We start from the raw sequence: 27,922 nt of genomic DNA, 5'->3' as shown, positions 1-27,922 counted from the left end.
AAACTGCAAAAAGGTTAAGCACATTTACAGAACAAAAAAGCTTAAATTAACACTTAGAGGAAAAGATAAACAGGCAGTAAACATTTGCATTACCAGGAGGAAGTATTTTTTTCACCATATCTTGTATCTGTTACTTAACTATAGTTATTGAATTTCTAAAAACTTCCCCAAAGCGATCAACATGGAGCAAAGTTCTCTCTATAAACAAAAAGAAATGAAGTGTTTGTATGCTCTGAGGAAGTAATGACTCTGCAGCACTTACAGTTCTTTTCGATTCATATAGTTAGAACAAAGAATTTTCATTGGCAGGGAGCTGGCAAATGGTAGATACAAATACCTATCCCTTCCCCCACTAAAAACACACATGCTTAGACCATTTCACTTTGTAGGCTTCTGGTTATTTGTGAGTCAGTCAAATGTAAACCACATTTGATGGGAAGAAAGTGTGTTCAGAAGAGGACCGACAGAAAAAAGTTGAAGACTCCAGGGACTAGAGTTCTCAAGAAAGTCAAAGAGAACTTGAGGTGATCATGAGAGAATAAAAACTCTGAAAAAATTACCATATGTCCCAACAGTTCCTCTCCTAGATGCCGATCCACGAGAAAAAGAAACATATGTCCACACGAAGACTTGTGCTGAAGCATTCATGGCAGCATTATGCATATTGGCCAAAAATGCAAACAACTCAAATGCCAATCAACTGAAGGACAAACAAAATGTGGTGTAGGCCGGGCGCGGTGGCTCACACCTGTAATCCCAGCACTTTGGGAGGCCGAGGCGGGTGGATCACAAGGTTAGGAGTTCGAGACCAGACTCACCAGCATGGTGAAACCCCATCTCTACTAAAAATACAAAAATTAGCCGGGTGTGGTGGTGTGCGCCTGTAATCCCAGCTACCCAGGAGTTTGAGGCAGGAGAATTGGTTGAACCCGGGAGGCGGAGGTTGCAGTGAGCCAAGATTGCGCCACTGCACTCCAGTCTGGGTGACAGAGTGAGACTCCATCTCAAAAACAAACAAACAATATGATGTAGCCATAATGGAGTACATATTCAGCCACAAAAGGAATGAGGCCCTGACACATGCTGCTACATGGACAAACCTTGCAAACGCGATGCTAAGTGAGAGAAGCCAGTCACAAAAGAGTGCACACTACATGATTCCATTTATATGAAACGTCCAGTACAAGTCAATCGACAGAAAGCAGATTTGTGGCTACCGGGGACTGGGGGTAGGAATGAGGAGTGACTGTAAATGGGTATGAGGTTTCTTTTTGTGGTGATGGAAATGTGCTAAACCTGGATTGTGGTGATGACTGCACAACTCTGTAAATACACTAAAAATCCTTCAATTGTATGCTTAATATGGGGGAATATTATGGTGTGTAAATACATCTCAACAAAACTGTAAACTAAAAAGGAACCTACGGGGCCGGGTGCGGTGACTCACGCCTGTAATTCCAGCACTTTGGGGGGCTGAGGTGGGCGGATCACCTGAGGTCAGGAGTTCGAGACCAGACTGGCCAACATGGTAAAATCCTGTCTCTACTAGAAATACAGAAATTAGCCTGGCCCCATTGGTTCCAAGTCATGACGGTCTAGGCTGATCCCATGGGGTGGGCTGCTGGGATCATGGACAAGGTCAGGAGGCCCTAACCCTGACTTCCACAGAACTGCCCTTGACACTCTGCTGGGATGTGCATTCATGTGTGCAGCTCCCACAGGGGACTGGAAGTAACTTGAGGGCTGAGGCTCTATCAGGTCTGATTCATGTGTCTGTCTCTAAGCCCTGCACATGCCCTGAGACACAATCCTGCATGGCTGGCACTCGATAATGTCCATTAGGAAAATCCAATGATGCTTTGAAAATGTCTTCCTCCATCCCCAGCAGCCTTGCGCAGGATAGTTTAGTGGATTACAGATAAGCTTTCTAGCTCTGTCTTAGAAAGTCATCCAACCTCTCCAAAGTGTAGTGGAAAAATACCATCTGCCTCCTGGGTTGCCATGGGAATTTTAACTCAATCTGATCTCACAGGAGACACCGTGACCTATTGCACAGTCGTTACCTGAGACTGAACTTCTGCAGGGCCCCAAGAACATTCTCCCTGGTGATGATATCCTTGTCCTCCTCCTTCAGCCTTCCCTCCAGCATCTGCAGCACCTTTGTGTTCTGGGCAAGGTAGAGGCGACCTGATAATACACCAGAGATGAAACAGGTGAAAGACAGAAATAATTTATCTGGTATGCTACAAAACCACTTTCCACGAAAACTTACTTTGCATATAACACAGTAGAGTTTGGGTAATTTTATGTTCTAAAAAACTTACTGGGCAGGGCGCGGTGGCTCACGCCTGTAATCCTAGCAGTTTGGGAAGCCAAGGCAGGCAGATCACCTGAGGCCAGGAGTTTGAGACCAGCCTGGCCAACATGGTGAAACCCCGTCTCTATTAAAAATACAAAAATTAGCTGGGTGTGGTGGCAGATGCCTGTAATCCCAGCTACTCGGGAGGCTGAGGCAGGAGAATTGCTAGACCCCAGGAGGCAGGTTGCAGTGAGCCTGAGATCGTGCCACCACACTCTAGCCTGAATGACGGAGCGAGACTCCATCTCAAAACAAACAAACAAACAAACAAACAAACAAACACTTACTGGTTGTGCAAGGTGGCTCACGCCTGTAACCCTAGCACTTTGGGAGGCTGAGGCAGGTAGACTGTTTGAGCCGAGGCGTTGGAGACCAGCCTGGGCAACAGGGCGTAACCTCATCTCTATAAAAACTAAGGAACATTAGCCAGGTATGATGATGCACACCTGTTGATCCCGCTAATTGGGGGGCTGAGGCGCGAGGAGTATTCCTTGAGCCCAGGTGGTTGAGGCTACAGTGAGCCGAGATCATGCCACTGTACTCCAGTCTGGTTGACAAAGTGAGACTCTCTCAAAAAAAAAAAAAAAAAAAAAAACCAAACACACACACACACACAAAACCCCCACAAAACTTATTAAAACTTATTAAAAGATATTTCTTCTAAACGTTAAACGTTGGTTTTATTCAATGAAATATCTGGTGACTAGAAAAACCACTCTTCTTGTGAGCTAAACATAATTCATTGCTGTGTTCTTGTGGGGAGCATTGTCCTTTTTTTTCCATGAAATCCTGAACCCAACAGTCAGATCTACAAAGAGAAATGAGGGGTAATGTGTGTGTTATGAGCCCTTAAGTCTTCACAACAGAGGCAGCCAAGGAATGCTTCCATACACACTCTCTGTACAAGGCCTGGAGAAGAAGCAGGAAGCCACACCTGGGACCCTGTAATAAGCCCAGAATGGTCCCTAGCCTGTTGTGGACTTCTGAATGGATATGGAAGATGTTAATTTCAGACATAAGTTTCAACAGTATTATTATATGAATGGTCCTCAGTAACACATCCTGGCTTATCATAAATGTCTGCCAAATGGATGGAAGAACGAATGAACAAATGAACAAAGTTTTGGAGTATCATATATTCATAATTTGAAAACTCCCTTTATTCACATTATAAAGAGCTCAAATAAATAAGAACTTACGGAAGATAATGGCACTTTGCAAAATCATTTTAAATTCAGTTATGGGGGCATGTTATTTTCAGAGTTTTCAAATCCTTTGATTTAAGAGGTCATAGTCTTCTGAAGGAAATGGTGCAGTGTTTATTGGAGTCTGCTTTGTTTCGCTAAGCTTATTTTGCCGTAATTGTTTCACTTATTTTGCCTTAAGTAGAAAATTATAGAAGATGCATTCATTACCTGTGATATACTTGAAAGCAATATAAAATGTTACTATGTTACAAAACCAGAAAGCTTTATAAAATAAAACCGGGAGGTTTACAAAATAAACCCCAAAAACTGTCCAAATGTGCTCTGATATAAACTAAAGCAATATGACAACAATTAATTTTCACAAAAGACCTTAGATGAATTAAACGGTAACAAACTGAGGAAGCGTCATCTCTAAGAAACTTGGGAGGAACGCTCATTTTCAAAGGAAAAAGCACATCAATATGACCTAGCTCTTATCTTTGAAGCAAAGCTGATGTCTCACCTTCTGCCAGTGACGCAAAAGCATTGATGAGCCTGGCCATGTACTGCCGCACCACGTCGCTCGTGGAGTGCAGCAACTGAAGCACACTCCTCTGGGGGAAAACGTCAAGAGGAAAAACAAGGTTAAGAACACGGAGAGATAAACACACGCCTCCTCTTCGGGTCTGGTAGTTCTCTTCCTCTGCCTGAATTTATTAGAGGTGAAATAAACAGACTAAAGCCAAACATTTCATCTGGAATCCTTGTTTTCCAACTGAAATTTGATGAGACTTGGCAAAAATAAGTTAGTCAGACTTCCAAATTAAATGAATTAATTACACGAAGCCCTCAGAACAGTGACTGGCGCGAGGGAAGCAGTCCTGTTTGCTGTTACCGTTGCGGCTGTTTTCCAGGTTAGAATGGCAGATCCAAGACACATGACTAATTTGGCTCCCTCTAAGCCACAGTAAAACTACAATAAATGGACTGTTAAAAAAGATAATTCCCAAGGACAGAGAGAACAGCACGAGAAACGATAACGCCACAATTCTGGAAGTGGGACTGCAGCATGGCAAGAGGCTTAGCAGGCTCAAGAAGGCCAAATCTCAAGGCAGCAACGGGCACTGTGGAATTACCCAATTTCCATTACTCACTCCTCAAAGCACTTAAGAGCTGAAGAAAAATAAAGACGAATGAATTAAAGTTGTTCAAGAAGCACTTGGATCCCACTCATGTGACTCCTGCACACCTCTCAGCACAGGGCTGGGGAGAGGGTGTTCCCTTGTGAGGGAGACACAAAGGGTCTGTGGATCTGGGACACCAGGCAGAGGAGAGCAAGGCTTGCCGGGGTTCTAGAACAAAATGGAGAGGGGGGTTAGTGTCTAAATGCAGAATGAATGTGGAACAGAGGGCCACCCCAAAACTTGGCTCCCAGGACCCTGGCAACCAGACCTTTGCCCTCTAGGCCTGAGATTAGAAGACTATTCTCACAGTGAAATGACCAGCCCACGGGGAAAGAATTAGAGACCGTGAAATCAGAGGTTCCCAGCAAACGGCCCACCCAGATCCCCCTGGGTGGAACTATCCATCGACAGGCCCCACCATCACACTCAATGGCTTTGTGGTCCCCTTCACTCCAAATCTCTCATTAGGAGATCACCAAGGACTAGCAGACATCTGAGAAAAGTTTCTACCAGGAGGCCAAAACAAATAGGGGGGGAGGGTGGGGGCGGGGCTTGGAGTAAATGAGACCGTGCAGGGAGAAGAAAACTAAAAATTAAATAAAAATTCATCAATAATATCCTCAAAGATATAAGAAACTGTATTATATCCATGAAACAAGAGAATGCTATCAAAAAGGAAATAAAAGTGTCAACAGAAGGGTCAGAAAATAAAGATGAAGACATCTGCTAGGGAGGCTGGGCAGGGTGGCTCATGCCTATAATCCCAGGACTTTGGGAGGCCAAGGTGGGCAGAGAGGTCAGGGGTTTGAGACCAGCCTGGCCAACATGGTGAAACCCCGTCTCTACAAAAATACAAAAATTAGCCAGGCGTGGTGGCACACACCTGTAATCCCAGCTACTCGGGAGGCTGAGGCAGGAGGATTGCTTGAACCCAGGAGGCAGAGGCTGCAGTGAGCTGAGATCATGCCAGGGCAGCAGAGTGAGACTGTCTCAAAAAAAAAAAAAAAAAAAAAGAAGAAGAAAAGAAATCTCCTAAAGAGTGGAACAAAAAGTAGAAAAGATGAGAGAAAACTATAATAGAAAACCAGTTCAGGAGGTTCAACATTCAGAGAGAGAACACAGAAAACAGAGGGAAGAAACCATCAACAAAATAACTCAAGACCAGAATGAAAGTTGTCAGACTGAAAGGGCCCACAAAGTGCTCAATAAAAGGGATTAAAATATACCTCATGAAGGACGTCAATGGGAAATTGGGAAGATTCAATATGCTTCTAGGGAGAGAAACACAGGTCACATACAAAAGATAAAGAATTGGAATGGCTTTGGATTTCTTTTTTTAAATTTTTTGAGTCAAGCTCTCACTTTGTTGCCCAGGATGAAGTGCAGTGGTGTGATCACAGCTCACAGCCTCAACCTCTTGGGCTCAAGCAATCCTCTCGCCTCAGCCTTCTGAGTTAGCTGGGACTACAGGTGCACGCCAACATGCCTGGTTAATTTAAAAGAATTTTTTTTTTTCTTAGAGAATGGGGTCTATGTTGCTCAGGCTGCTCACAAACTCCTGGGCTCAAGCGATCCTCCTGCCTTGGCCTCCCAAAGTGCTAGAATTATGGGCATGAGCCACTGTGCCCAGCTGGCTTTGGATTTCTGTACAGCAAAACTGGAACCTAAAAGACAATGGAGCAATGTCTTCAAAATTCTGAAGGAAAATTATTTACAATCCAGGATTCTATACGAAGAATGAAGACATTTCTTGACCATACATGATCTCAAAAAAATTTACTTCCTGTGTACTTTTTCTCTAGACGTTATTAACTAAAGGATGTGTTCCACCAACCGAGAGAACAAGTCAAGAAATAAGATAATATGGGACACTGGAAACAGAGATCCAATTCAGGAGAGAGGTGAAAGGAATCAATAAAAGTTTGGTGAAGAGACTCCTGGACAGCAGCTATGCACCAGAATGTTTTCCAGACTAAACCCAGCTAATTCAAGAGGGCAACATGTCAAAGGCTGTCGTCCCCAAGATGCCTATTACCATTACACCCATTTAGGTTGATTTTTTGCTGAAGTATAGCATCTACACAGGGCATTGCACAGATCACATGTACAGCCTGATGAGTGTTCACAAAGCGAACATGTGGCTAACTAGTAACCAGATAAAGAAACAGAACATGACCATAGTCCCAGATGCCCTTCCAGAACCCCATTCCAAACCAAGGGTGACTTCTCTCCTGGCTTCTAACATCATAGATTCATGTTACTTGGCTCCTCCTTAAATTTTTTAATAAATGAAACCATATATTATATATTCTCTTATGTTTGACTTTTTCATTCAACAATATGTCTGTGATATTCACCCAGGGTCTCTGCTGTGTTCCTTCTCATTGCTCAAGGTATCCCATTTTACAAATACATCACAGGTATTCATTCTACTGCTGATGGACATTTGGGTTGCAGCCAGTGTTTTGGTTCTAGAACTGCAGCTATGAATATTCTTGCATGTTTTTTAGTGAACATATGGGCACGTTTTGGTTGGGGCTTATCTAGGAGTGGTTTTGCTAGGACATAAGGTATTCAGTTTTAGTAAACGCTGCCCGTGTTCCAAAGTAGTGCACGAGGTCCCAATTTTTAAACAGAGCACAAAATGACTGGTGAAACGAGCCCAGACTCTTATCTGCATTTGGATAACCCTAAACAGTGCTAGTGAAGTTCTAGCTCCCCCTTCCATGCCCTGCTGTGTGGATTAGCTGCGAACAGTTTTTTACTCCCACAGAAGTGTTCTCAAGTGATCAACCCCTGAGAACTAGAAGTAGATCAAGTGAGCGTAAAGCCAAAATACACAGCAGCTCACCATTGCCCTTAGGCATAAATATTGCTGCCGGGCCGGGTGCAGTGGTTCACACCTGTAATCCCAGCACTTTGGGAGGCTGAGGCAGGCGGATTACCTGAGGTCAGGAGTTTGAGACCAGCCTGGCCAACATGGCGAAACCCCATCTCCAATAAAAATACAACAATTAGCTGGGCATGGTGACGCGCACCTGTAGTCCCAGCCACTCAGGAGGCTGAGGCGGGAGAACTGCTTGAACCCAGGAGACGGAGGTTGAAGTGAGCCGAGATCACGCCACTGCACCCCAGCCTGGGTGACAGAGCGAGACTGTCTCAAAAAATTAAAAAAAAAATAAATATTGCTGTTGGACAACTGGTACCTGGCCCACCTTTCAATTCCGCCAGACGCTCTGTGTTTCCCAGGACTCTCTCCCACTTTTGATTACCAATGTCCCCAGAGGGGATCAATAAGTGCTCAGGGAGGCTATGTCTAACTGTCATCCCAAACTTTGGTTTATGCCATCTTCTCCTAGCTAACTTCATCTAACATGGGCACAGTCCTGTTTCCTTGCAGAGCAAGGCTGATGCTTGCTACTCAGCACAAAAGCAAACACTGTATTATGCGGGATATACATAGATGGGAAAACTATAAAGAAAAGCAAGGAGCGGATTAACACAACAGTCAGGATGTGCATGCACACTTCACAGCAGCACTATCCACAGTAGCTTCTACTGACGGAGGAAGAGATAGATACGCAAAATATGGTCCACCCATATGATGAAATGTTAGCCTTAAAAAGGAAAGAAATTCTGACATATGCTACGTGGATGAACCTGAGGACATTAGCTAAGTGAAATAAGCCAGTCACAAAAAGAAAAATACTGTACAATTCTACTTATATGAGGTATTTGGAGTAGTCACAATCATAGAGACAGATAGTAGAATGGGAATTTGCCAGGGGCCTGGAGTAGGGGGAAATGGAGAATTATTGCTTAATGGGTACAGAGTTTCAGTTTTACTAGATGAAAAAAGTTATTTATGGAGATGGATGGCACATGATGGTTGCACATTATGAATGTGTTTAATACCACTGAACTGTACACCTAAAAATGGGTAAGATGCTTAGAGATATGAAGAGAGATATTTATGAAGTCTAGAAACTAAGAATTCAGCTAAAAATGAAAAATTCAGTTCTCTACAATTTCATTAAATTTGGCTCCATTCAAGTTTTTGGTCTCAAGCTGTAATTCTCAACGCATCCTGGACCAGCAGTATTAGCATCACTGGAAAACTTGTTGGAAATGCAAATCCTTGGGCCCCACCATAGACCTATTGAATGGAAACTGTTGGTGGGACCCAGTGATCTGTTTTAATGAGACCTCCAGGAGATAACGATGCATGTTAAACTTTGAGAACCACTATGGGAGAGGAATGAACCAACGAATTCAATTTCCTGTCTGTACAGGTCAGTTTACCTTGGTGCCATAGTGACACAGCATCCATGTTGGACAAGGAGTCTTTCTGCCCTGCAGATTCTCTGACATCTTAAGAGAACTTCAACTCATTTCTTCTTTTTTTTTTTTTTTTTAGATGGCGTCTCAGTCTGCTGCCCAGGCTAGAGTCCAGTGGCGCAATCTCAGCTTACTGCAACCCCAGTCTCCCGGGTTCAAGCACTCAGCTTCCCAAGTAGCTGGGATTACAGGTGCACACCACCATACATGGCTAATTTTTGCATCTTTAGTAGAGACAGGGTTTCACCATGTTGGCCAGGCTGGTCTCAAACACCTGACCTCAAGTGATCTGCCCACCTCAGGCCTCCCAAAGTGCTGGGATTACAGGCATGAACCACCACACCTGGCCTATTTCTTCTTTTTTTTTTTTAGAAAAAAAGTTTTATTTCAAGTTTCTGGGTTATAGGTGGTTCTTAATTACAGGGATAAGTTATTTAGTGGTGACTTCTGAGACTTCAGTGCACCCAGTGGATACAGTGAACACTGTCACCTGTGCAAGGTCCATTATAAAATTTTTGTTTGCATCCTCATATCTTAGCTCCTACTTACAAGTGAGAACATATGATATTTGATTTTCCATTCCTGAGTTACCCCACTTAGAATAAGGCCTCCAGCTCCATCCAAATTGCAGCAAAAGACATTATTTCATTCCTTTTTATGGCTGAGTGGTATCTCATGTTGTATATATATTACATTTTCTTTATCCACTCTTTGGTTGATGGGCACTTAGGTTGGTTCCAAATCTTTGTAACTGCAAACTGAAAACGTGTGTGTGCATGTGTCTTTTTCATATAATGACTTCTTTTCCTTTGGGTGGATGGCCACTAGTGGGACTGTTGGACCAAATGGTAGTTCTACATTGAGTTCTTTAAGGAATCTCCGTACTGTTTTCCATAGTGGTTGTACTAATTTACATTGCCACCAGCAGTGTAAAAGGGTTCAAGCGTTCAGCTCATTTCTTCTTCTTTTTTTTTTTTGAGACGCAGTCTCACTCTGTCGCCAGGCTAGAATGCAGTGGTGCCATCTCTGCTCACTGCAACCTCCGTCTCCCGGGTTCAAGCGATTCTCCTGCCTCAGCCTCCTGGGTAGCTGGGATTACAGGTGCGTGCCACCACGTCTGGCTAATTTTTTAGCAGAGACAGGGTTTCACCATGTTGGCCAGGCTGGTCTTGATCTCCTAACCTCCTGATCCACCCGCCTCGGCCTACCAAAGTGCTGCAATTATAGGCATGAGCCACTGTGCCCAGCAGCTCATTTCTTCTTAAAAAAATAAACCAGGCTGGGCACAGTGGCTCAGGCCTGTAATCCCAGCACTTCGGGAGGCTGAGGCGGGCGGATCACCCGAGGTCAGGAGTTCGAGACCAGCCTGACCAACATGGAGAAATCCCATCTCTACTAAAAATACAAAATTAGCTGGGCGTGATGGCGCATGCCTGTAATCCCAGCTACTTGGGAGGCTGAAGCAAGAGAATCGCTCGAACCCAGGAGGTGGAGGTCGCAGTGAGCCGAGATCGTGCCACTGCACTCCAGCCTGGGCGACTAGAGTGAAACCCCATCTCAAAATAAATAAATGAATAAATAAATAAATAAACCACAGCTGGGCACAGTGGCTCACGCCTGTAATCCCAGCACTTTGGGAGGCTGAGGTAGGTGGATCATTTGAGGTCAGGAGTTCGAGACTAGCCTGGCCAACACAGTGAAATCCCGTCTCTACTAAAAATAAAAAAATTAGCTGGGTGTGGTGGCGGGCGCCTGTAATCCCAGCTACTTGGGAGGCTGAGGCAGGAGAATTGCTTGAACCCAGGAGGTAGAGGTTGCAGTGAGCTGAGATTGCACCACTGCACTCCAACCTGGGCGACAAGAGAGACTCCATCTCAAAAAATATATATAAGTAAACCATAGCAACTACATATAATGACTTGAGGAAGAAATTACTCTCTTCAATGGCTATAGAGGTCACTGCCTTTTTGACAAAAATCACAGATGACAAAACCCAACACACCTTTCATCAGAGGACACATTTTCATTTTATACATAATCAAGAAAGAAAAAAACCCCTGCCAATTAAACTGTAAAATGCCATTGACTGTCAGATACACCCTAATAGCAAAGATGTTAAAATGGGGGGAAAAAGTGTATCTTCGACTCAATGAAATAATGTTAGAAATAATCAGTATTGACTTTACTCTTTAATTTGAGTTTGGAAGTTATAACAATACATTATTCAGCTGCTTCATGCCTTGTAGGCTGGATTCAATGCCATTATAAATCCAAACAGGAAAAAAAAGCAAGAAAATAAGTCAAGAATATGAGAGACTATTTTCAAACTTAACTCATTCATGAGAACATTAAGACTACATTCACAGAGTAAACTGGCAACTCAAAACTCAGATTGTATTGCCTGTATGCACAACAGATGAATGTGTAACTCACTTTCCCACGGTCTGTTGCTATGGTTTCAATGTCCCCACCAAAACTCATATCGACATTTAATTGCCAATGTAGTAGTACAGGGAGGTGGGACCTTTAAGAGGATATTAGGCATTAATGGATTAATGCCATTATTGCCGGAGTGGGTTAGTTATTGTGCGAGTAGGCTCCTGATAAAAAGACAGCTTCGACCCCCATTCTCTGACTTGCACGCTCACTTCTGCCTTCTGCCTTTTGCTTTGGGATGACTCTTGCCAGATGCTGGCGCCATGCTCTTGGACTTCCTAGACTCCAGAACTATGAGCACAATACCCTTGGATTGTTTATAAATTACCCTATCTGTGGTATTCTGTTACAGCAGCAGGAAATGGCCTAAGACAGCTGTTTAATCGGTGAGTGTCCAGAGCATTTGATACTCCACTCAGTGCACACGTTGTGAAGTTTAACAATAGCTTTACATTTTTACAGCACTCTGGATAAAAATTCAACTGAAATAATAAAATGTAGTACACTCTTAACACGTGCCAAATTCAAAATCCTGATCCTCCTCCTGTCCAGTGAAGTTTGGTGCAGATACAGGTAGGAGGGGCAAGGACAGAAGAGAAAGACCATGTAGTGACTACTTGGTACCAGGCCTGGGGCTTAAGGACTTCCCCCACCTGACTGTATGTAATCATCCCAACGACCTCCCGAGGCAGGCGCGGCTCCTTGCCCAGATGAGGAGGTGCCTGAGACTGAGTAACTTGCTTACGGTGACCTGGCTAATGAGTGGTAGAGCAGAGGTTTGAAAGCCAGTTTATTTTACCCCAAGTCTCATACTTTTCCCACAGGATCAGTAGACCTATCTGGCCCAAAACTATAAGTAAAGTACTGTGTTAAAGAAATTTTTAGTCAGGCCCAGATGTAAACAACCTGAATTTGCTTACCTACCTTGTCCCTCTGAAGTCATACTCAGTTTTCAGGACTCATGGTAAGCAGTGAGGTGAGGTAAAGAGTAGGGAATTTGAGAAAAGGAAAAACGGCAGAAAAGAGCTCCAGAGATGATGAATCAGGCAGTTCTAACTTGTTTAGAACTCTTCACTAGAAGCAAAAAGTAAGCCAATGCCCAGAACCTCATGAGCTCAAGGCTGACATACAGTTACGAAGCTGAAAATGTGCAGAGAAATTATAAGCTTCCCCCATCTGCTAAGATCATTCCCTAGAATTGAAGGCCCTGGCTGGGATCTGGCCCCACCTCTTACCAACCTGGTTGTGGCTATAACAGTCCAAGAGGTCATTGCTGATGTAGGCTTGCAGAACGGTCTCCCTCTGCTCTCCAGGATGGGATGTGGTCAAGCGCTGGAGCAAAGAAAAACAAAAGTAGTGAGACCTAAGTCTTATCATGGAGAAAAGTTTCTCATAGCAGGTGTGTTTTAGATGGCAGTATCAGTACCTACACATTTAACCAAACAAAATAAGTAATATCCAGCTTGGGGAGTGGTGGCAAGTTAACCAGCCAACCAAAACGAGAACCTATGATGCGGGCCGGGCACGGTGGCTCACACCTGTAATCCCAGCAATTTGGGAGGCCGAGGCAGGTGGATCACGAGGTCAAGAGATCAAGACCATCCTGGCTAACATGGTGAAACCCTGTCTCTACTAAAAATACAAAAAAATTAGCCGGGTGTGGTGCGGGCGCCTGTAGACCCAGCTACTCGGGAGGCTGAGGCAGGAGAATGGCGTGAACCCAGGAGTCGGAGGTTGCAGTGAGCCGAGATCGCGCCACTGCACTCCAGCCTGGGCGACAGAGCAAGACTCGGTCTCAAAAAAAAAAAAAGAACCTGTGATGTCCTAATGGGTGACACAGGGAGCCAACTTATACATGTGAACTCTCCAGAGAAGTGAGGCAGCAAAATGCTCAGACTGTAAGTGTGCAGATAGGGAAGAGCTCATCCATGCCCAGAGAAGCATTTCTTATATAAAGGGGCTCAGGAGCTGGTCCCTGCAGGATGGGCAGCCTATTAACCAGCACAGGGGAGCATGAGCACAGTGGGGGATAGGGAAGTGAGGTCTAGCTCAGGAAAGTATAATACAGGGCACAGTGGAGTGGGCTCAGTGGGAGGGGCCCAGGGCTGACTGTAGAGCACTCTGAATGCATGCCCTGCCAACAAATTCACTCTATCCTATCCTATTGGGAATGACAGAGTGATACAGTGCATGTGCGCTTGTGTGCACGTGTGTGTGCGTGCATGCATGAGTGTAGAGGTAGCTGGCTAGAATTTTGTAGATTTTAGAAAGCCATAAGTCTGTCATGTTGCTACAAGTAAAAATTTACGCAATGTCCACAGGGCTAGAAGAAAATTTTCGTGTGGAGAGCATGTATAACGGGTATGTGCGTGTGCACATCGGTGTGTACAGGTGTGAGGTGGGATATGAAAAAGCATGTAACAGAGTGAGCAAATATCCTTGCTTTTTCAGGAAAATCCTACTAGATAAAAATCCTGAGGCTGCAAGCCCTGCTTCTAGCCAAAGAGAAGCTAGATGTGCAAGGAATATGCTAGTTCTTAGCGTGGGCAAGAGCGCAGGCCAGAGCATCAGACGCCCTGGGCTGGAAGGAGAGCCGGGGAGGCCTCCAGAGCAGGCACTGCCAACAGATGTGATGACCATGGCCAGGGTGTGCCTGGAATGTCACACTGGGGTGCTGCTACCCTTCCGTTGAGTTCACTGAGGTTGAAGCAGGGGCAAAAAGCCGGGTGGGGGCACTGGAGGGGGACACAGACAAAAACATTAGAAACCTGTTCACTTTTCCTGGTTATTCTGTGAAGATGTCACCCTCTCAGCAAAGGAATACCCTGTCTCAGCAAGAGGCTCAGGAGTAGCACGGACTGAGAGGAAGTGCAGCGTCAGTAAACCAAGAGCCGCATAAAAGATGAGTTTGAGAGCTTGAGCAGAGAGAGGCAATGGCCAGGGAGGAAACGGCCACCGTGGATGACTCATGCTGCCCCACCCACTCTAGTCCTGACCCAAACAAAACCAGAGCAGACACCACTGCTTGTCCACAGGACTCTTCCTGTGGATCCTGGATACGTCGTCCGAGTCCTCAAGACGTACTTCAGGAAGCACTACCATAGAAGCATGCAAGTGAGAACTGTTTCTATCCACAGATGGGAAATTGCTAAGGATCCTGATGCCAAGACACCTTGAAATTTGGGTGTCCATGAAGGTGTCTGATGCTAATGAATTAGAATGGACTGTTCAGTTAAAGAACTGCTGGCTCAACCACTGTTGGCTTGAGTCAGCAGTTCTCAGTGTGGTCCAGGGAACCCTAAGAGGTCCCCCAAACCCTTTAGCAGGTCTGCAAGGTCACAATTTTCATAATACTAAGATGTGACAATGCCTTTTTTATGATCAATCTCTGGGAGGCTATATGAAGTGTGACACTGACAATCAAACACAAAGCAGATATGAGAATCCAGCTGTCTTCCATCAAGCCAGACATTAAAGACAACTGCAGAACAATGCTGCTCTTCTCACAATTTTATTGTTGTTTGGAAAGTAGTATTTGTCGCAAAAATGTTATTTATGTTAACATGTCATTTATTATTGCTCATTTTAAATGAATTAATAAACATATATTTCAAATCTTCAGGGTTTTGTTTTGTTTTGTTTGAGATGGGGTCTCACTCTGTCACCGAGGCTGGAGTGCAGTGGTGTGATCTTGGCTCACTGCAACCTCTGCCTCCCAGGTTCAAGCAATTCTCCTGCCTCAGTCTCCTGAGTAGCTGGGACTACAGGCGCCTGCCCTCATGCCTGGCTAATTTTTTTTGTATTTTTAGTAGAGATGGGGTTTTGCCATGTTGGCCAGGATGGTCTTGAACTCCTGACCTCAGGTGATCCACCTGCCTCGGCCTGCCAGTGTGCTGGGATTACAGGCATGAGCCACCATGCCCAGCCAAATCCTCTCAGTTTTAATTTCAAATGCTGTAAATATTGGCAGGTAGAATTCACGTAAATGAAAGCTCTCTGAGGTCCTCAGTCATTGTTGAGAGTGGAAAGGGTCTGACACGAAAAAGCTTGAGAACCAGTTGTTGACTTCAACTGCACTCAGTCTGAAGACCAGGCAGAAAAGTAGCGATGGGGACCAGGACACTTTCCTTAGGCCCTGTGAACAGGAGTTCTTTCGTTGGTGCCTGTCCAGCGTGGCTGCATGGCAGTGGCTGAATACAGAACCTCTGTGGGACTGTGGGTAACCCTGACTCCACGCACTCACACAAGCAGAGTGGGGCTCATCACCAGGAAAGGGCTACACACAGGTGCAGTCTCTTGGGCCTTGAAATTCATTTATCTAACTCATTACATCACAATTGCCATAATATAGGAGTTTCTAAAAGGAGGCCCAGGCTATCTTCAGAAGTGGCTTTTGACTTCCGTTCTTGGTGTCAGCAGACAGCGGGGAAGAAAGATTTCTGGAAGATGGGTTAAAAGATATAAGCAAGGTAGCCAGCCAAGAAAACCAGCACTGGTTTGGTTTTGTTTTCTAACTTTAAGACAAAGGTACCTACCCAGCGCAGAGCCTGCAACAAGAAGGCTTTCAAGCGGTCACTCCCCAAAATCAAATCCTTCTTCAGTTTCTCATAATCCAAGGAGGGCAGTAATGGGACATCCTTCAATTTCCTACTCAGCAACACAAGTTCAAAGAGAAAGAAAAGGGCAAAAGGGCATGTTTATTACACCTCCTGAGCATTATGACACCCAAGCTAGAGCCTGCTGTTCCCATGGGCTCCCAGCATGACCTCCCGGCTTCCACTTGGAGGGCGGGCTGGGTTCTAGGCTCCTACCTCAGCTTCAACCAGCTCAGCTCTGCCTATTCTGTTGGATGGACTTAGGTTCTGTTTAACATTTTTCCTAAAACAAGGAGTCTTTGCCTGAACAGATTTAGAAACCCCTACATTCACCTTCAGCCAGACCTCCCTAGCATAGGGAAGAAATCACCTTGAGGGCATCATGACTTTCCACTGAAGTTCTGTTTAGAATTTTGGACATAATTCAAAGAAAATTAGCATCAGCAGGCCCCAAGAGTTCTACCTAAACACCTGAAGCCACTGTTCCTCTCAAGCCTGAGCTACTGGACCGGGGGAATATGAACAACAGTCAGGAAACAAGTGTGAAGAGTAAGCAGTCGGGGGCCGGGCGTGGTGGCTCAGGCCTGTAATCCCAGCACTTTGGGAGGCCTGTGCGGGTGGATCACCTAAGGTCAGGAGTTCGAGACCAGCCTGGCCAACATGGTGAAACCCCGTCTCTACTAAAAACACAAAATTAGCCGGGCATAGTGACACGCGCCTGTAGTCCCAGCTACTCGGGAGGCTGAGACAGGAGAATCGCTTGAACCCAGGAGGCAGAGGCTGCAGTGAGCCGAGATCGCACCACTCCGGTCTAGGCAAGACACAGCAAGACTCCGTCTCAAAGAAAAGAAAAAAAAGAAAAAAAGAGTAATTAGGTGGGTGGCTTAGCCCTCCAAGGAGGTAGAAGGTGTGGTCAGGAAGCAGCATGGGAACATAGGCAGGAGATGGGTTGTAGGACAATTTGCAGACCCTCCTCAGGGAGACTCCAAAGACCTCTGGGGAGCCAGGTTTCAGTGAGGAGAGACCTTGGATTGGAGATCCACACAGCTCAGACTGCCCTGCCACCCACCTTCGGTCAGCCAGAAACAAAAGGAATCACCTCAGCTTCCTTGTCGCTAAAACAAGCGTCTTCACGTTTTGTTTTATTGTTGTTTTATTGTAGAAAAGATTAGAGGGCATAGAAAAACTGGTGAGACTAAATGAGGTTTGCAGTCTAGTTCACAGTACTGTATCAATGATAGTTTCCTAATTTTGGTGTAATACTACAGTATTATGCCAAATGCTAAGTGTTGTATACGTATTAACTAATTTTGATCCTCACAATAATCCTATAATAGAATTACTATGATTCTCCTCATTTTGTAAGTGAGGAAACTGAGGCACAGAGAAATTAAACAAGTAATCCCCAGTCACAGGGAGGGTAGCAGGGGTGGGCTTTTAACCCTAGCAGTCTGTGCAGTGATACTGCTGCCAAAGTGGTAGGAGAGAATAAAGCGTGGGGTCAAGGTCAGACTCAGGCAGGGCTGAGGGAGGAGGAAGGCTGTGGGCATCTCAGGTGTGTGAGGAATCACACAGCACCCGTCTTCCCCTCCTCTCCCGCAAAGCTGGCTCAGAGGGTCCCAGAAGCCACCCTGGTCCTCATGCCCAAGTCAAAGGTTCTCAACTTCCTTGCCACCACAGCATCAGACACTCGTAAGGGGGACAGCCCAACTCATCAGGACAGGAGTGCTCAGGCATACACAGGGCTGCCCATGGCCTTGATCACAGTGTGAACCAGCAGACAACATAAATTCAGACAGTGCAACACTCTGTGGATTGCACTATGATAGCAGATTAGATTCACTTCTATACAATACCATATGAACAATTCAACAGGTTTTTTTGTTTGAGGCTTCCTTACCAAAAGAATAGAATTAACAATATAAGATGGCCAGGCGCGGTGGCTCACGCCTATATTCCCAGCACTCTGGGAGGCCAAAGGGGGTGGATCACTTGCGGTTGGGTGTTCAAGACCAGCCTGACCAACATGGAGAAAACCCGTCTTTATTAAAAATACAAAATTAGCCGGGCGTGGTGGCGTATGCCTGTAATCGGGAGACTGAGGCAGGACAATCGCTTGAACCCAGGAGGCGGAGGTTCTGGTGAGCTGAGATTGCACCACTGTACTCCAGCCTGGGCAACAAGAGCGAAACTCTGTCTCAAAAAAACAAACAAACAAAAAAACCACACAGGCAATAAAAAATAATTCTAGTTTAACAACATTACTTATAAGTACTCGTATTTCCTTTAATATTCACATGTAGCTCTAGCTCAAAGGCATTCCTCTAACCTAGGCTGCTAAGTGTTTATTAAAGACACTTTGAATTCCCGTTTTACACATTGCTGTTCTCCTTAATAAAAATTCCTAAGAGCAGTTACTTACACGGGTGCCAAGGAGGCTCGTAACATGGTGGATGCCTGGGGGGAAGAGGACAGAAGAAAACAGATGGTGTTAAACACTGATAGCAATGCACGGATCCCAAATCACCCTAATAGCATGGAATCAACAGATGTGCAAGTTAGGTTTTTTGGGTTTTTTTTTTTGGTTTTTTTTTTTAACTTGAAACACAAACGCTTTATTTAAAGGAGCATCTCAATTCCGTGTGGCGGACAAAAAAAAAGGAGCAGACTGTGACAGACCATTCCCATCGGCCAAGTGGTCGAACCCGACATCCAAGACCCAGCGAGCAAGCAAGCTCAGCGCAACCTCCGGGCTTCTCGCTCTGACTCCAAAAGGGTGAGCACGTCGCCCTCGCGCACGGGGCCTTTTACATTGCGGATGATGGATCGGCTCGTGTCGTCCATGAATTCCACGCGCACCTGCGTGCACTGTCCCTGAGAGCCGGTCCTGCCCAGGACCTTGGTGACCCTGGCCAGCTTGATAGGCTGCACACGGCTGGTGTCCATGATGGCGGCGCGGCGGCGGTCTGGCGGAGAGGCGGTTTTTTTGTTTTTGTTTTTTTTGAGACTGAGTCTTGCTCTGTCACCCAGGCTGGAGAGCAGTGGCGCAATCTTGGCTCACCGCAACCTCCGCCTACCGGGTTCACGCCATTCTCCTGCCTCAGCCTCCTGAGTAGCTGGGATTACAGGCACCTGCCACCATGCTCAGCTAATTTTGTTTAGTATTTTTAGTAGAAACGGGGTTTCACCGTGTTAGCCAGGATGGTCTCAATCTCCTGACCTCGTGATCCGCCCACCTCGGCCTCCCAAAGTGTTGGGATTACAGGCGTGAGCCACTGCGCCTGGCCCAGATGTGCAAAGTTTTAATCCACCAGGATTCACCAACCAAAGTCACATACGATGTAAAAATCAACCCAAACTAAAGTTACACACCACTAATCCAGCTCACAGCCTACCCAGCCCTGGTTTGATGTTACACCACTCCAAGAAAAACTCTAGAGGCTGCTCTGCCTACGGAGTAACCATTCTTTGATTCCTTTATTTTCTTTAGAAAAAAAACAAAAACAACCAAACAAAAAAAAATCCTCTATGGAAAACGATGGGTTCTCCCTGACCAAACTCCCAGGGGCATTTCAAACTGCCTAGTTAAATACATTGTGAAGAACAAAAGCAATATGAATCATTATATTATTCTGGTTTTTTTCTTTATTAAGATTTTCTCTTCAAGTATAAAAATGTGCACTTTGTACCAAGTCAAACATTTTCTACACGTGTTTAAAAAACATTAACAACCCCTCTTCCACCCCACTCTCTTTTAATCCTGATCCTGTCCATAGGCAAAATCATCACCTACTTTACGGAGATTCTTGTCCCATTTATTTTGTGTGTGTGTGTGTGTGTGTGTGTGTGTGTGTGTGTGTGTTTCTTTTTGCCACTACAGGTAGTGCTGTATTATGTACTAAAATACATCTGAGAAACATATAAGCAGATACAGTGTGTAGTGCTTGTTTGAACTGACTCAAATAAACCAACTGTAAAAAGATATTTTGAGAAAATAAGGAAAATCTTGAATATGGAGTGGACTGGTATTAGATACTAAGGAATTAGTGTTAACTGTATTTGGTGTTGTGGCTATGTGCTTGTATATTAAAGCCTCTGATCAGTTAGAAATGTATATTGAATGATTTACAGGTGACATGACATGTTTGGAATTGGCTTTTAAAGAACTCCAGGGTGGGGGCAGGGAATAAGTAGAGGAGAAGAAAGCAAGCAAGATTAGTGAAATGCCATTTATTGCTGAAGCTGGGTGATGGGCACTTGGGGATCCATTTTATGATTCTCCCCTGTGTGCATGAAATTACAGAAGCCTTGTTAAAAATCTTATTGTCAGTTAATGATACTTAAATTTTTTTCAATTTTTTTCAATTTTTTTCAATTTTTTTTTTTTTTATAGATAGGGTCTCACTATATTGCCCAGACTGGTCTTGAACTCCTGGGCTCAAGCAATCCTCCTGCCTCAGCCTCCAGAGTAGCTGGGATTACGGGTGTGCGCCACCATGCTTGTACTTACTGATATTTTGTTTTATGAGCTAAGCTAGACTTCCAAAATCTAGATCAAAGGGTATGTGATTTTCAATTCTGATAAACATTGCCAGACACCCCGCACTGAAGGAAAGCTTTCCTTTTTCGTTATCAGTACTGGAGCCTATCACTCTAAAACTTCCATCAATTCGAAGGGTAGAAAAGAGTTTACTTTCTTAAACTTTAGTGATATTGGCCATTATTTTTCATAGACATTACCTGCTTTTTGACTTTGCCTTCATGCCTTATGTGATACCAGATTGTTTTCATGGATTTCAGTCTTGCTTAAGAAGGTCTACCCTACCTCAAGATGATACACACATTCTCTCAATTCTTCTAACATTTTCATAGCTTTATTTTTTACATTTAGAGATTTCATCCTTCTGGAATTCATGCTACTGTATTTTCCTCTGTGGTGTGAATGAGGCATGCAACTTTGTTTTGTTGTTCCCCGAGAGCCAGCTGTGCTGCGTCATGTAAGTCCCACCCAGGCCATCCAACATCACCTCAAAATGCTTCCATCAGTAAGTCTTGCTTCCTCCCTATCTTTTTCTTCACCTCCTTTTTGTTCTTCCTTTTTAAATTAGAATGTGAACACTAAGGTGGAAGGAACATCATCTTCAGGCCCCAGAGCTCCCTACAGCCTGACACCAGCTGCTTTACACACTTCCTAGCCCTGACAGCATCTGACTCCGTGACCCATGAAATAAACCACCCCTTTCCTACCTCTGTTGTCTGCTAGGTATACATCTATCCTTAGGTTTGTTTCTGGACTCTGCAGCCCCCTGCTACTCAAAGTGTGCTCCTCAGACAAGCAGCATCATCCAGCTCTCATTGGAAATGCAGAATTTTGGGTCCCATCCCAGACTTCCTGAACCAGAACCTGCACTTCAGCCAGGTCCCCAGCGGACATGCCTGCACAATAAACTTGGAGAAGCCCAACTCTGGTCCATAACATTTTTTTTTCTTTTTTTTGAGACACAGTCTCACTCTGTCTCCCAGGCTGGAGTACAGTGGCATGACCTCAGCTCACTGCAACCTCCGCCTACTGGGTTCAACCCAGCCAAACCGCGCCCAGCCAAACACCACTTTTACATGGCTCAGATCAGCCAGGCACAGTGGCCCCGGCCTGTAAACCCAGCACTTTGGGAGGCCGAGGCAGGCAAATCACTTGAGGTCAGGAGTTCAAGACCAGCCTGGCCAACATGGTGACACTCCATCTCTACTAAAAATACAAAAAATTAGCTGGGCGTGGTGGCACAAACCTGTAGTCCCAGCTACTCAGGAGGCTGAGGCAGGAGAATCGCTTGAACACAGGAGACTGAGCTGCGATCACACCACTGCACTCCAGCCTGGGTGACAGACCAAGACTCCATCTCAAAACACAAAAACAAAAACAAAAACAAAAACAAAAAACAATGAAAATAAAAACTAAAATTAAAAAAGTGGCTCAGACCATGCATGTATGTTTTTATACTTTTTAACCCTTGATTGTTTTAATAAAGAAATTACCTATTCCTGTTGTTGGCTTAAATAGTGAGTTTAGAAAATAAGTTTGAAATGTCATCTAAATTATTCATCTAGCTGGGCATAGCCGTTCACGCCTGTACTCCCAACACTTTGGGAGGCTGAGGCAGGAGGATCACTTGAGCCCAGGAGTTTGAGACCAGCCAGAGCAACATGATGAAACCCTATCTCTACAAAAAAAAAAAAAAAAATTAGGGGGTTGTGATGGCACGTGCCTGTGGTCCCAGCTACTCAAGAGGCTGAGGTGGGAGGATTGCTTGAGCCTGGGAGGTTGAGGCTGCAGTGAGCTAAGATCACACCATTGCACTCCAGCCTGGGCAACAGAGTGAGACCCTGTATCAAAAAAGAAAAAAATTATTCACCTAACACCTTACAGAGACCAAGAAGCTAAGATAACAAGTCAGACGGGTCAAGTAAGGACATGGCCATACTAAAATATTAGCATGGCTGGGAGCGGTGGCTCATGCCTGTAATCCCAGTACTTTGGGAGGCCGAGGTGGGTGGATCACTTGAGGTCAGGAGTTCGAGACCAGCCTGACCAACATGGTGAAACCCCGTCTCCACTAAAAGTACAAAAATTAGCTGGGCATGGTGGCGGGCGCCTGTAATCCCAGCTACTTGGGAGGCTGCGGAAGGAGAATTGCTTGAATCAGTGAGGCAGAGGTTGCAGTGAGCCGAGATCGTGCCATTGCATTCCAGCCTGGGTGACAAGAGCAAAGCTCTGTCTCAAAAATAAATAAAATATTACCATAATATATAAAGAAAAATACTTGATAATTAGTGATATTGGCTGGTTATTTCCACAAATGAAATTTATCAACATTCTCCTTTTTCCGTAGCCAAAAAACGTTTTCTACCTTTTAAAACACTCTTTTGCTAAACTCTCTATCATTCTATTTGCCCTGTGAAGAAACTGGTTGAAAAGCAGTAATAATTGGCCCTTTCATGAGTACAGCCAGTCTGATAAACATTATTACAACTTTAGTATCTAATAAAATAAACAAAGCTGGAGATGGCTGTAGAAGGAGTGGCTCAGCATGCTCTCAATGAGAGAAGGCCAGCCAGGCAACACAGTGAGACTCATCTCAACAAAAAGTAAAAATTAGCCAGGTGTGGTGGTGCACACCTGTAGTCCCAGCTACTCGGGAGGCTGAGGTGGAAGGATCACCTGAGCCCAGGAGGTTGAGGCTGCAGTGAGCTATGATTGTACCACTGCGGTGCAGCCTTGGTGACAGAGCAAGACCCTGTCTCAAAAAAAAATAATAAAATAAGGAGAGAAGGCTGCAGTATTTCATGCATTTGGCAAGCAAAGCATACCTACTGACTGCCCCCATCAGCCAGGTCTCTGCTATGCGCTAGTGATACGCAGTGAAGAAAGCAAATGCCCTTCTCAGAGCACTCACAATCCAATGAGGAGGATAAATGACCGAATAACTCCCCACGCCTCAGTTTCCTCATCTGCATAATGGTGGCACCAGCAGTACCTACCTCACAGGATTGTTAAGGAATTAAATTAGTTAAGAGTGGCCAGGCCGGGTGCAGTGGCTCACATCTGTCATCCCAGCACTTTGGGAGGCTGAGGCAGGTGAATCACAAGGTCAGGTGTTTGAGACTAGCCTGGCGAATATGGTGAAACCCCATCTCTACTAAAAATACAAAAATTAGCCAGGTGTGGTGGCGGGCACCTGTAGTCCCAGCTACTTGGGAGGCCGAGGCAGGAGAATCGCTTGAATCCGGGAGGCGGAGGTTGCAGTGAGCCAAGATTGCACCACTGCACTCCAGCCTGGGTGACAGAGCCAGACTCCATCTCAAAAAAAAAGGAAAAGAAACAGAAAAAGAAAAGAAAAAAGTGGCCTCTTCACTCTCTACATCTCCCAAAGTATCAGGTCCTACTGATTCCATCCCACAGCTGCTACCTTCTCTCCAATCCCCATGCCAGGGGCTCCATTCAGGACTTCTTCTCTCCTCTGAACTACCACCTTAGCTTAATAAGGATGTACTCACTGACATTTACTGAGGGCTCACTAGTCACCAGGCATGCCACTGTAGGAACTTTACACATATTAACTCATTTCATGCACTGCCATTTCCACTTTCAGATCAGCAAACACAGGGACTGAGCAACTTCCCCTAGAACAAGAATCTAATCAGGCAGTCGGGTCCCAAAGTCCACATTTGCTCTGCCCACTCCCCTGCTTCAGGTCTCTCCTCCAGCCCTCCTTCCACACTCAACACAGGGGTCTTTGTAAAAATCGCATCTGCTCAGCCTCAACCCAGGCCCCCGCAAGGCTTTAGTCACCAGCTCCTCTCCCTGGCAGCCCCTCACTCTCTTCGGCCTCCTTCACCCCCCATCCTCCAAGATAGCTCCGATCTTCCCTGGCCTTCCATGCTCTCAGGGACCATTTCCAGCATCACCGTCTACCCTCCCCTCTGGGAGCATGGGCCGGCACTGATTTTCCTCAGCATCCCCTGCGTTCTCTGCAGTGTGAGTGGCAGCATTTTCCACACTGTGCACTAGCCATGTTTCCTTTCCCTCTAGTGCTTCTCAGCTGGGAGTGGTTTTGCCCATAGGGGATATGTGGCAATGTCTGGAGACATTTTGGGTTGTTAATAGCGGGAGTAGTGCTACTGGCATCTAATGGAGGACGGCCAAGAATGCTGCTAACCAACCTACAGTGCAACAGACAGCCCTACAACAAAGACATCAACAATCACAAGCCCCAAACCATCCAACACAGTCAGAATCACCAATCACCAGTCAGAAAAATTTCCCTCACTGAGCTAACAATGGGTTCTGAACACGGGGTGGACTCCACCTGCTACGGAGGCTCTGACTCCAGCCCACTCCAGCCCAAGTGAGTGCTGTCTCATTTCTAGGATTTCAGGCTGAGAGCTCAGGGAAAGGCCTGGCAGGCCTGGGGCATCAGAAAAAGGACTGTGCTCCCAATCACAGTGGACCTGCAAATGCACGTGGTGGTCTCCCTCCCGTGGAGGTGTGCACGGGTGGGCGGTGGTCTCCCTCCCGTGGAGGTGTGCACGGGTGGGCGGTGGTCTCCCTCCCGTGGAGGTGTGCACGGGTGGGCGGTGGTCTCCCTCCCGTGGAGGTGTGCACGGGTGGGCGGTGGTCTCCCTCCCGTGGAGGTGTGCACGGGTGGGCGGTGGTCTCCCTCCCGTGGAGGTGTGCACGGGTGGGTGGTATGCTCCCATCTGAAGATGTCTGGGTCAAATGCAGGCGCAACCCTTTTTAGGATGCAGGTGAAGAACAGTGGAACAACTAATGTAGTAACCCATCAATTATTCACTGAGCACTTGCCCCGTGCCAGGCTCCCTTCTAGGTTCTCTGGAACCTTTGGGTAGGAAAAATAAATGCCTACCTAAGCCAAGCTGAAACAGCTGCATTTCTGCCCCCATCCATCCCTTCTCAGCCCCAGGAAGACCTGGGGCCTGCCTCCCAGAGCAGCTGCTCTCCCTAGCTGGTGTCAGGATGTGGGGAGGTGGGCAGTGGGGCCACACCAAGCCTGGGACAGCTCTTGGTGACTAGCAGGATGGGGACTTTCTAAGACAAACCAGCAGGAGGTGTAAGGTAAGGAAAGTGTTCCTGGGTCCGATCTAACTGGAGACTGACTGGACTCAGCAGGGGTAGCAGTTCTCCCGCGGGACTTCTCGGGAGTCTCCTGTGTACTGCTGTGCTGGGAATCTCACTGGATGGCAGTTCACAAGCTTATTAACTCCCAGGCTGTTTGGCTGTGGGGCAGGGAAATCCTGCGGGATGGGCATTTGCGGGCACAGGCTTTGGAAAACGCTGCTCTAAGTAGAGACAGCAGCAGGATGGGGCAGGGGTGCGCGGGCCAGTGAGGGGCAGAAAGTAAGTTTGGGGGCCAGACCCCAGGAGAGGCTACCAGTGAGCCCCTGAAGATGAGGCCATTTCTGCCAACCCCTTCTTCTCTCCCTACTCACCTGGACTAACAGAGCACTGTGGCTGGGCAGGCTGTGCAGGATGCACGTGGGTAAGGAATGTAGGGCCCCTTGAACTCAACAGAGGTTCAAATGCCCACAATGGAACCCTTGAGGCAATATCTCAGCCAGGGGACTGGGCAGGCGATGGAGGCCCAAGCCAGAGGCACATCCCCATCAGATGCGGAAGGGGCTGCTATGGCCAGCTTTTTTTTTTTTTTTTTTTTTTTTTTTGAGACAGAACCTCGTTCTGTTGCCCAGGCTGGAATGCAGCAGCATGATCTCGGCTAACTGCAACCTCCGCCTCCCGGGTTCAAGCGATTCTTCTGCCTCAGCCTCCTGAGTAGCTAGGATTATAGGTGTGCGCCACCACGCCTGGCTAATTTTTGTATTTTTAGTAGAGACGGGGTTTCACCATGTTGGTCAGGCTGGTCTCGAACTCCTGACCTCATGATCCGCCCGCCTCGGCCTCCCAAAGGCTGGGATTACACGTGTAAGCCACCACGTCCGGCCCTGCCAGCTTTTTAACGAGAAGGGGCACTTGCACGTTAAAAGAGATGAAAACCACTTCACCCTAAGGTGATAACGGTGTTGAGCAAGATAGTAATATGATCGGATGCCTGTAAGACACCTGAGTCCTTCCTGGAACATGAAGGGTACAAATAAACAAGACACAACCAGAAAGGCCACTTCAGATCCCATGTGACAAATAATCAGTAAGGTAAGAGCTTTAAGACCAGTTAGGAAATGTGACATTAAGCCAAGAGGGAACTATGGAGAGCCTGAACAAACACAAAAACAACAGCAATGTGGGCAGGGAGGGAGGAAGCTCTTGCAGATCCCATTACCAGGCAAAGGACAGAGAAAAACCTCAGACGCTTCCCAGGTGTTCCCTGGAGTGTCTTTCACTGAGACAGGAAATTCAGGAGGGGAGACCACCTGTGTGGAGGAAAAGTTGAGCCCGATTTGGACACAAATCTGGTGAAGCTGTCAGGCATTCATGGGGAGGCCAGAAGTCTGGGTTTGGAGCTCGAGAAAGGTCTCAGCTGATGGCTGGTCACAGCTCTAACTCACTGGTTGAGATATTAATACAAAGGTGCTTTATTTTTTGAGACAGAGTCTTGCTCTGTTGCCCAGGCTGGAGTGCAATGGCGTGATCTCAGTTCACTGCAACCTCTGCCTCCCAGGTTCAAGTGATTCTCGTGCCTCAGTCTCCCAAGTAGCTGGGATTACAGGTGTGTGCCACCACGCTCGGCTAATTTTTGTATTTTTAGTAGAGACGGGGTTTTGTCATGCTGGCCAGGCTGGTCTCAAACTCCTGACCTCAAGTAATCTGCCTGCCTCGGCCTCCCAAAGTGCTGGGATTACAGGCGTGAGCCACTGCACCCGGCCTACAAAGGTGTTAAACCCTCTCATCACCAGGTTGGTCTGGGTATGCAACAGGCATTGGTATACGAGGTATAGCAGGGTCAGGGGTGCTGGTTGGGAGACTCCTCAATACACAGGGCATTGCACCAAGGAAGATGGCCTGGACACATGGCAGCAATGTGGGGAAAGCGTAGGCATTTGCCAAGATGTAAGAAAATCACACTGGGGAGAAGGCAAGGGCTGAAGATGCTGAGCTTCAAGCCAGAGCCACAAGCCACATAGCAGGAAGCTGCTGACAAAGATGGCTGAGGTGGAAGCAGGTGCCTTATAAGAGCCACATGTCCTGGGTCTTTTTACATTTAATGCTATAGTCTCTATCACAAAATCAAAACCATTTTAATGCAAATTAAAATCAAAAGGTTGGGCATGTTGGCTCACGCTTATAATCCCAGC

At 46.1% G+C, this 27,922-nt stretch overlaps 1 protein-coding gene and 1 pseudogene across 10 annotated transcripts in view; both read right to left on the bottom strand.

The window, feature by feature from the left end:
- ARMC9 (armadillo repeat containing 9) overlaps nucleotides 1-27,922 on the bottom strand; it is a 178,218-nt gene that overhangs the window by 101,707 nt on the left and 48,589 nt on the right. For all 10 annotated transcript variants that reach the window (NR_148040.2, NM_001271466.4, NM_001352754.2 and 7 more), the window contains 5 exons: nucleotides 18,522-18,556; nucleotides 16,040-16,151; nucleotides 12,744-12,836; nucleotides 4,070-4,160; nucleotides 2,064-2,187 (listed from right to left, as the gene is read on the bottom strand). Coding sequence is in view for 9 of the 10 variants with exons in the window: in NM_001271466.4 (NP_001258395.2) it covers nucleotides 2,064-2,187; nucleotides 4,070-4,160; nucleotides 12,744-12,836; nucleotides 16,040-16,151; nucleotides 18,522-18,556 (455 nt within the window). In the remaining variant the exon portion in view is untranslated. The remainder of the gene's footprint in view (nucleotides 1-2,063; nucleotides 2,188-4,069; nucleotides 4,161-12,743; nucleotides 12,837-16,039; nucleotides 16,152-18,521; nucleotides 18,557-27,922) is intronic.
- On the bottom strand, nucleotides 18,694-19,077 carry RPS28P4 (ribosomal protein S28 pseudogene 4; annotated as a pseudogene).

The sequence above is a fragment of the Homo sapiens genome, chromosome 2 (genome assembly GCF_000001405.40).
Source record: "Homo sapiens chromosome 2, GRCh38.p14 Primary Assembly".
In the NCBI taxonomy this organism is placed as follows: domain Eukaryota; kingdom Metazoa; phylum Chordata; class Mammalia; order Primates; family Hominidae; genus Homo; species Homo sapiens.
The sequence above is the reverse complement of the archived record's forward strand: the minus strand, read 5'-3'. Positions and strand labels throughout refer to the sequence as shown.